The sequence below is a fragment of the Homo sapiens genome, chromosome 20, assembly GCF_000001405.40.
Source record: "Homo sapiens chromosome 20, GRCh38.p14 Primary Assembly".
Taxonomy (NCBI): domain Eukaryota; kingdom Metazoa; phylum Chordata; class Mammalia; order Primates; family Hominidae; genus Homo; species Homo sapiens.
The window spans coordinates 53515280-53525626 of NC_000020.11; the positions used below are offsets into that span (position 1 = coordinate 53515280).

Consider the following 10347-nt stretch of genomic DNA (forward strand, 5'->3'; position numbering starts at 1 on the left):
GTATTGGTCTAAAGAGTGGTCTCTAAACTACCAAGGTGATGTGCACACACCTGTAACCCCCAATGGATCTTTATTTAGCGATGCAAAAATAATATATACATCTTATTATATGAATTTATTGTGCATATTATAAAACATATTCAAAAACACAATGCAGCCAGGTGCATTGGCTCACGCCTGTAATCCCAACACCTTGCGAGGCCAAGGCAGGCAGATCACACGAGGCCAGGAGTTCAAGACCAGCCTGGCCAACATGGTGAAACCCCTTCTCTTCTAAAAATACAAAAATGTGCCTAGGTAAGAAAAGGAATGAATTGTAAGCCTTGAATCCTAGCGTTGTAAAGCAAATGTCCACCTGCTCCAAACAGATGGATAAATGGATGGATTTAAATCTCTATGTGACGTGCCCGCCAGTCCTAATCCCATTCCTCTTCACAAGAACTTTTAATATTAAGGTCACGATAGCATCAAGCTTCTATTTAAATTACATTTCTTGGTTTTTGTCTACTTAAAGCAGAGTAAAAGCAGTAGGGGTGTGTGTATGTGTGTGTGTGTGTGTCCTGGTTATCTCACATTTATTTGCTTTCTTAGGTATTCTGACATTAACCCAGGCCTGCTAGGGGACATTAGTAAATATTTGGTCGTAAAGTATCTTCAAAGAACAATTTTCTGAGTTAACCACACCCGATAAAATCCTCTCGCATCACTGAAAGGCTTGTCTGGCTGTCAGGCAGTGAGATCGTTTTATTGAAAAGACTCATGATGTAGTGAACAAAAGCTTAGGAAATAAACTCTAATCCCCAAAGGAACACTCAATACAACTCTACTCACACTAAAATATTCAATTTATGGCCTATATTGAATCCTATGTCTATAATTTACTGCCCTAACTACAAAGGAGTTTTTTTAATACAAACCAATTTCAATATATTTTACTATTTTCCTTGCCTCTGTTAAAGCAGAAATAACAAATTTTGCTGAAAGCTTAGGAGATAAATGCAATAGCAATTTCCAGGGGTGCCTCTTACAATCATCTAGTTTTCATCAGACTTTAACTGAGTGCCTAGGATTGTGTCAGGTGCCCCGGGCATTGCTTTTTTTTTTTTTTTGAGACAGAGTCTCGCTCTGTTGCCCAGCTGTGCAGTGGCACAATCTTGGCTCACTGCAACCTCTGCTTCCTGGGTTCAAGCAATTCTTCTGCCTCAGCCTCCCAAGTAGCTGGGATTACAGGTGTGTGCCACCACACCCGGCTAATTTTTGTATTTTGGTAGAAACGGGGTTTCACCACATTAGCCAGGCTGGTCTCAAACTCCTGGCCTCAATTGATCGGCCCACCTCAGCCTCCCAAAGTGCTAGGATTTCAGGTGTGAGCCACCTTGCCCAGCCCATATTGCTTTTTTTTTTTTTTTTTTTTTTTTTTGAGACATACTCTCGCTCTGTCACCAGGTGGGAGCACAATGGCACGATCTTGGCTCACTGCAACCTCCACCTCTCAGGTTCAAGCGATTCTCCTGCCACAGCCTCCCCAGTAGCTGGGATTACAGGCATGCGCCACCATGCCCAGCTAATTTTTGTATTTTTAGTATAGACAGGGTTTCACCATGTTGGCCAGGTTGGCTCTATTTCTTGACCCCGTGATCTGCCCACCTCAGCCGCCCAAAGTGCTGAGATTACAGGCATGAGCCACCCTGCCCGGCCCCATATTTTTTTAGCTAGCTTCCCAGGTCCTTCTGATATGTACCCAAGCACCATAGCCCTCAGGAAAACAAAAATATGTTTATTCAGTAAACATATATAGGGTACCTGCCATGTGCCAAGAGTCATTCTAGGTGCTGTGGACACAACAGTAAAAAAACTAGACAACAGAGTCCTTCTGTTTAAAGGGCTGTCGTTCTAGAGAAAAGAGAGAAAATAAATAAATCAGTAAAATATACGCTATACAGCAGGGGTCCCCAAACCCCCGGCCACGGACGGGTACTGACCAGGACTGGACTGGACAGCAGGAGGTGAATGGCGAGCGAGTGAGCCAAGCTTCATCTGTGTTTACAGCCGCTCCCCTTCACTCACGTGACTGCCTGAGCTCCGTATCCTGTCAGACCATCAGCAGCATTAGGTTCTCCGAGGAGCCTGAGCCCTGTAGTGAACTGCAAGTGTTGAGGGATCTGCATTGTCCTTATGAGAATCAAATGCCTGACGATCTGTCACTGTCTCCCATCACCCTCAGATGGGACCGTCCAGTTGCAGGAAAACAAGCTCAGGGCTCCCACTGATTCTACATTGTGGTGAGTTGTATAATTACTTCATTATATATTACAATGTCATAATCATAAAAGTGCACAATAAATGGAATGTGCTTGAATCATCCTGGAACCACCACCTCTCCCCGCCACCCCCGGGTCTGTGAAAAAATTGTCTTCCACTCCAACCTGGGTGACAAAGCCATAGGGGAAAAAAAAAAAAAACCTGAAGACGTTAAAAAAACAACAACAAAAAACACACACACAAATAAAATGTCTGCTGTGGGGGCCGTTTTTTTTTTTTTTTTGACAGGGTCTCACCCTGTCACCCAGGCTGGGATGCAGTGGTGCAACCTCAGCTCACTGAAACCTCTGACCCCCGGGCTCAAGCGATTCTCCTGCCTCCGCCTCCCAAAAATAGGTGGGAAACAATAAAAAAGAAAAGAAAAACAAAAAAGAGAGAGAGAAAAATAGGTGGGAAACAAAGAGGAGAAACGCAAAATTCTACATTCAGAATGATCTAGAGTATGTAAAAAGTATGTTCATTTCAAAAGAGCAAAAATAAAAACAAAACAAAACAAAAAACTGGAAGTAAGACAATGACAATGATCCTGGCCTTGGAATGCTGGGACCCTGAGAAATAATAAGACCACTTCTCTCTACATTCAGACTTTTTTCCAAAAATAAAATATATGTATAAAATATGGCTGGGTGCGGTGGCTCATGCCTGTAATGCCAGCACTTTGGGAGGCCAAGGCAGGTGGATCACTAGGTCAGGAGTTCGAGACCAACCTGGCCAACAAGGTGAAACCCCGTCTCTACTAAAAATACAAAAATTAGCCAGGTGTGGTGGCGAGCCCCTGTAATCCCAGCTACTCAGGAGGCTGAGGCAGGAGAATCACTTGAACCCAGGAGGCAGATGTTGCAGTGAGCCGAGATCGTGCCATTGCACTCCAGCCTGGGGGATAAGAGCAAGACTCCATCTCAAAAAAAAAATAAAAAATAAAAAATAAAATAAAAATAAAATAAAAAATATATATATATATATAATGTTTCTGATTGGACTTAGGCTCCAGAAACAACTAAATAGAAAAATATACATTATCTTCCTTCATAAGAAAATTTACAGATGATATTTCTGTGAACATGAGATTAAATCCTATGGCCTATTATTATGACATTTTAAAATTTATGTTCTGCCTCATTTCACAAAAGACTTAAAGCAGAAATTTGGACATATTTTATGGAAATAACTATTTAGCTGAGACTACGCCCCATTGCTGTAATATTCAAGATGAGTTTTTTTTTTAAATTATATATTCAGAGGAAGAAGTCCCAGGCATTCTAAAGAAGAGACATTATTAGATCAGAGGACGGCAAATGTTTTCTGTAAAAGGCCAGAGAGTCCGTGTTTTCGGCTTTGCAGGTTATACGGTCCATTCCACCATTAACTCACTCTGCCCTTGCACCAGGAAAGCAGCCACAGACCACATGCAAACCAACAAGAGTGGCTGTGTTAGCAGAAAACTGTATTTATGGACACTGAATTTTGAATCTTAGGTAATTTTCATGTCATGAACTATTACTCTTAATTTTTTTTTTTGCGACAGTCTTGCTCTGTTGCCCAAGATGAAGTGAAGTGGCATAATCTCAGCTCACTGCTACAGCCTCCACCTCCCAGTTTCAAGCGATTCTCCTGCCTCAGCCTCCCAAGTAGCTGTGACTACAGGTGCCCACCACCACACTCGGCTAATTTTTGTATTTTTTGTAGAGATGGGGTTTCACCATGTTGGCCAGGCTGGTCTCGAACTCCTGAACTCAAGCAATTGGCCTGCCTTGGCCTCCCAAAGTGCTGGGATTACAGGTGTGCACCACCGTGCCCAGCCCCCTACAGACATTTTAAGTAGAGCAATGCCTACTGACCCCTTTAAAATATGTCTGCAGGTTGGTTTGTAAAACTCTTCTCTGTTTGTCCTTAAAAAATGGCCAATAAAGTCCTCAGTACCTTTTAAATGATTGGTCTGAGTGGGTTTTTGTAGTTTAAGATGAAGGAGAGAGAGGCAGAGTTTCGGGGAAGTAGGGAAGAGGAAGAGGCCTCACACATGGAAACCAGAGCTCTGTAGAAAGAAATTGGCCCCAAATTTCTTAATCTCCCAAGGGATTAGCAGAACTATTTGGTAGAGCTTTGGAACGGCATACGACTGGGAAGTGGGGACTTCAAGGCATTTTTTTAAAAGATATCAAAGGGGCAGAGAGCTCTCTGGCTGTCATCCACTCTGTAATTATAATATTGAAAACACTTTCCAAACTATCTCCACCACCACGCCCAACAGAAATAAAGAAAATCCACCTGGCCTATGACCCTAAATTAGAATCCTTCTTCATCAGGGCTTCTGAATGACAAAACTTGGATGTGATGGGTGGGAAGTAGAGAAGAAAAGTGAGAATGATAAATGACTCCAAGAAAATAGAGAAGCTAGTGGAATATGAGATGGGTGAATTCAAGTTTTAGAAAAGATTAAGACCACTAAATATGTAGACGCAGAGCAATTCTGAAGGAGGTTTATTGATTTTCTTTTTTTGAGACAGGGTCTCACTCTGTTGCCCAGACTGGAATCCAGTGGTGCAATCACCGTTCACTGCAACCTTCAACTCCCAGGCTCAAGTGATCCTCCCACCTCAGCCTCTTGAGTAGCTGGGACTACAGGTTTACACACCAGCCTGGCTAATTTTTTTATTTTCTGTAGAGACGGGGTTTGGCCATGTTACCCAGGCTGGTATCAAACTCCTGGGCTCAAGTGATCTACCCATCTTGGCCTCTCAAGATGCTGGCATTATAGGTGTGAGCCTCCGCTCCTGGCCTTACACATGATTTTATGAGTATTTTTTAATGAAATGCTTCAGATTTATAAAACATATTAGAGAGTAATAAAGCAAACACCTCTGTTTCTACCAACCACTTAAAAAAATTTTTTTTGTCTTTATGTAGTCAACAAACCTTGTAGACTGATTTGAGTCTTTAAGCCATAAGCATGCATGGCTGTGATAAGCATAAAAAATGAAACGAGTTATTTAGAAATAAAAACTAATATTTAACAGAGCAGTAGAAGAAATTTTAACAATAAAATTACAGCATCCATATCTTCTGTAGTCAAAACGGACTGTTTTAAGCAGTAGTTTTTCTTCAATGAATAAGTAATTATATCCAGTTTTTTAAAAATAGATCCCTATGAACCTCTCTCTTCCCTCTCCTTCCCCTCTAAGATAACCACTATCCTGAATTTGATGTTTCTCATTCCTACATATATCTTTTTTTTTTTTTTTTTTGAGACGGAGTTTTGCTCTTGTTGCCCGGGCTGGAGTGCAATGGCACAATCTCGGCTCACTCTAACCTCTGCCTCCTGAGTTCAAGTGATTCTCCTGCCTCAGCCTCCCAAGTAGCTGGGATTGCAGGCACCCACCACCACACCTGGCTAATTTTTGTATTTTTAGTAGAGATGGGGTTTCACCATGTGACCAGGCTGGTCATGAACTCTTCACCTCAGGTGATGCGCCTGCCTCAGCCTCCCAAAGTGCTGGGATTACAGATGTGAGCCACCACGCCTGGCCTCTTTTTTTTTTAATTTATTTTATTTTATTTATTTTTTTAAATTATAAAACATTTTACAGTGCTTTTTAAATAAGTCTTTGAAACCTAGCATGTATTTTACATTTACAGCACATCTCGGCTGGGATTTGCTGTGTTTCAAATGCTTATAGCCATGTGTGGCTAGTGACTGCCACTGGGATGGCACCACCGTCTAGACCTTGTTTCTTAAAGCATGGTTCTTGAAACAATAGCATCCAATTACCTAGCACCTTGTTTGAAATCCGGAATCTCAGGCCCCACCCTAGTGCCGCTGAATCTGAACCTGCCTTCTAATGAGATCCCAGGTGATTTGTGTGTACAACAAAGTCTGAAAAGTGGCTATGGAATCTCTTAGAGACCTAAAGATCTAGGACTCTGTGAACAGGTTTCTTGTTCACCCATTCATTCACCAGATATGAGCCCTGTTAATCCCTGACTCTGTGCCAAGCAGCGTCGGGTGCTGAGGATAAACCGGAGAATGACTCATACATGGCACATGCCTTCAAGGAGGTTACCATCTGTTGAAAGTCATGGAAAATGAAAATCTGCCGGGAGCAGTGGCTCACACCTGTAATCCCAGCACTTTGGGAGGACGAGGTGGGTGGATCACTTGAGGTCAGGAGTTGGAGACCAGCCTGGCCAACATGGTAAAACCCCATCTCTACTAAAAATACAAAAATTAGCCATGCCTGGTGGTTCACGCCTGTAACCCAGCTACTTGAGAGGCTGAGGCAGGAGAATGGCCTGAACCCGGGAGGTGGAGGTTGCAGTGAGCCCAGGTCACGCCACTGCAGTCCAGCCTGGGCAACAAAGCGAGACTCTGTCAAAAAAAAAAAGAAAGAAAGAAAGGAAGAAAAGAAAGAAAGGAAAGAAAGGAAGGAAGGAAGGAAGGAGAGAAGGAGGGAAGGAGGGAAGGAGGGAAGGAGGGAAGGAAGGAAGGAAGGAAGGAAGGAAGGAAGGAAGGAAGGAAGGAAGGAAGGAAGGAAGGAAGGAAGGAAAAAGAAAAGGAAAAGAAGAATCCAAACAGAGAATCAAGCAAAAATGAAAATTATGGTATTATGATTAAGAACATGGGATCTGGAGTTAACCAGCTATTCTTGGACAAGTTTCTTCACATCTCCGTTCCTCAGTTTCTTCATCTCTATGTGTGGGATCATCTTTGACGCTGGGCACTGTTGAGTATCTACCTGGCAACCATCATTCTTTTCCTTTGTTTGTTTGTTTGACTCGGAGTAAAATCACCCAGGCTGGAGGGCAGTGGTGTGATCTCAGGTCACTGCAACCTCTGCTTCCTGGGTCCAAGCGATGCTTGTGCCTCAGCCCCCACCAGGTAGCTAGGATTACAGGCGGATACCACCACGCCCAGGTAAATTTTGTATTTTTAGTAGAGATGGGGTTTCACCATGTTAGCCAGGCTGGTCTCCAACTCCTGGCCTCAAGTGATCCTCCAACCTCGGCCTCCCAAAGAGCTGGGATTACAGGGGAGAGTCACCGCGCCTGGCCTCTTTCCTTCTTAATAGCAGACTCTGACTTTGTTCTGGTTCATTCCTCCCCTGTGTGCCCCAGGCAACCCAGAAAGAGCTGAGACTAATCCCAGCTCTTCCTCATGTGGCATTTTCCTGGCCATTGTTCTGAATGGGTCACATGCTTATCCCCGAACCAGTGACTGGCGAGAGGAATATGACGTTCTGATTACCAATCCCTGCATCCCAGGTCCACCCCTGGACTCAGGGTTAGAGTGAATTCCACCAGAAGCCCATGAGCTGGGCTGGGGAAATGACAGCCTGAAGGTCAAAGCACACCTTCCCTTCTATTGCACAGCCTTTTCCTGTCAGAGAGAGACTAAGCCACAAACAGAAATAACCTGTAAAGAAAGTTTTCGGCTGGGCATGGTGGCTCACGCCTATAATCCCAGCACTTTGGGAGGCTGAGGTGGGTGGATCACCTGATGTCAGGAGTTCGAGATGGGCCTGGCCAACATGGTGAAACTCCGTCTCTACTAAAAATACAAAAATTAGCCAGGCGCAGTGGTGGGACCTTTAATCCCAGCTATTCGGGAGGCTGAGGCAGGAGAGTCGTTTGAACCCAGGAGGCAGAGGTTTCAGTGAGCTGAGATGGTGCCATTGCACTCCAGCCTAGGCGACAAGAGCAAAACTCCATCTCAGAAAAAAAAAAAAAAGGAAGCTTTCTTGAGAACATACAATGTGCCAGGCACTACACATGACATCCACTGTTACCAGTGAGCCCATGTCATGCAACGTAAATCATTTTATCGTCAATTAAAAAGATGAAAACTGGGCCGGGCACAGTGGCTTACGCCTGTAATCCCAGCACTTTGGGAGGCCAAGGCAGGCAGATCACTTGAGGTCAGGAGTTCTAGACCAGCCTGGCCAACATGGTGAAACCCCATCCGTACTTAAAAAAACACAAAAATTAGCCGGACATGGTGGTGGGCACCTGTAGTCTCAGCTACTCAGGAGGCTGAGGCAGGAGAATCGCTTGAACCTGGGAAGCAAGGGTTGCAGTGGGCCAAGATTGCACCACTGCCCTCCAGCCTGGATGACAAAGCAAGACTCCATCTCAGAAAGAAAAATTAGAAAAAGATAGACTGGATAAGAAAATGTGGCACATATACACCATGGAATACTATGCAGCCATAAAAAAAGAAAGAGTTCATGTCCTTTGCAGGGACATGGATGAAGCTGGAAACCATCATCCTTGGCAAACTAACACAAGGACAGAAAACCAAACACCGCATGGTCTCACTCATAAGTGGGAGCTGAACAGTGAGAACACATGGACACAGGGAGGGGAACATTACACACCAGGGCCTATCAGGGGGTGGGGGCAAGGGGAGGGAGAGCATTAGGACAAATACCTAATGCATGCAGAGCTTAAAACCTAGAAGACGGATTGATAGGTGCAGCAAACCACCATGGCACATGGATACCTATTAATAAACCTGCATGTTCAGCACATGTATCCTAGAACTTAAAGTAACATAAAAAAATCTAATTGTATTGCACATATCTAATTATCTGACAATTCCACCTCTAGGTACCTACCAAGAGAATTACTCTCACATGTGCACAAGGAGGTAAAGCGAGGCTGTTTACAGCACCACTGCTGGCAAGTGTGGAAAATTGACAACAGGAGGCAGGTGAATTGGTAGAGGAACAGGTGCAGGTACTGCATTACAGATTGTTCACTGGCTGAGTTCAAGGAGGCTATTCCTCAACATGGGATAAGTCTAGAACTACAAGCATGAACTCATTCCCTATACATAATGTTAAAAGTGAAAAATAACCAAGTTACAGGAAAAAAGTGGGAAGAGAATGAAGCTATTTGTATTTTTTAAAACCTTACTTATCTATGCAATGCATGGGAAAACATCATGAAAAATACACATCAATTCATAGCAAGGATTATTTTCGAGGAGGGGACAGGACTGGGCAAGGCAGGGAATTAAAGGATTACTTTTGTTTTTCTATATTATTGGAAAGACTTACAAGACTCTTCACATTTTCTTGGGAAATTTTTGTAGTAGGATGAGATAAGACTCAGTTAAAAGGAAGACCGCCATTTGGTGAGTGATTCAAAATCTTGTTAGTTCAGATTTCCCTGAAAAAAAAATGCACATTTTGCACATTTATTTAAAACTGTGCACTCAGGGGATTCACAGATTCACTGCTAGTTGTCCAAGAGACCCAGTGGCCTCCGGTTTAACACACCTGCAGTGGAGAGAAAGAACATGGTAGATTAACCAAGACCCCGAATTATCTGCTGCGCGGCCCATGGAGAGGTGGGATCTAATTCTTCCTTTGAGTACAGGCCAGCCTTAGTGATTGGCTTGCCAATGGACCACAACAGCAGAGGTGCTCTGGCCCTTCCGAGGCAGGTGTCAGAAGCGTTGCTTGCTGATTCTGCAGGGGACCCCTGGAAACACTCCCTCCGGGGAATCCAGCATCTGTGTGAGGAGTCTGAGGCTTCCGTGACGTCACCATGCTGGAGAGGCCACGTGTAGGAGGCAGTCCCAGCTGAGCCCAGCCTGGCAGGCATCCGAGCTAGGGCCCCCAATAGTGAGTGCAGCCACCTTGTATCTTCCCAGCCAGCTCATCTGCCAGCTGTGGAGCGACTTCCAGCAACACCAGTGAGGAGCAGAAAAAATTTTCCAAATTCCTGACCCACAAAATCAAGAGATACAATAGTTTGTGATAGGTTTATTATATATATAATATGTAATATATGACTTATTATAAATTAATTGTGAGATTCACAGTCTCACAAGGCAGATGTGGAAATAAGTAATTACATTATATTGTGAAATAATAGATGTCATCATTATATAAAACTTATAATTATGTAAGTTGTACATAATTTATAATACATGTAATAGAAAATAGGTTGTAGATTTAAGCACCAAGTTTTAGGGCAGATTGTTAAGTGGCAGTCGCTGAAACAGGGTGGGACTGCACGCTGCAC

At 43.6% G+C, this 10347-nt stretch overlaps 1 long non-coding RNA gene across 1 annotated transcript; it reads right to left on the reverse strand.

Moving 5' to 3' along the window:
• Window positions 1-1638: 1638 nt before the first annotated feature.
• On the reverse strand, window positions 1639-10031 carry LOC105372671 (uncharacterized). Its single transcript, XR_001754720.2, has 4 exons — window positions 9597-10031; window positions 9375-9486; window positions 1983-2089; window positions 1639-1893 (listed from the first exon to the last, which is right to left on the reverse strand). It is a non-coding gene; the product is annotated as an uncharacterized LOC105372671 (long non-coding RNA).
• Between the last annotated feature and the right edge of the window lie 316 nt (window positions 10032-10347).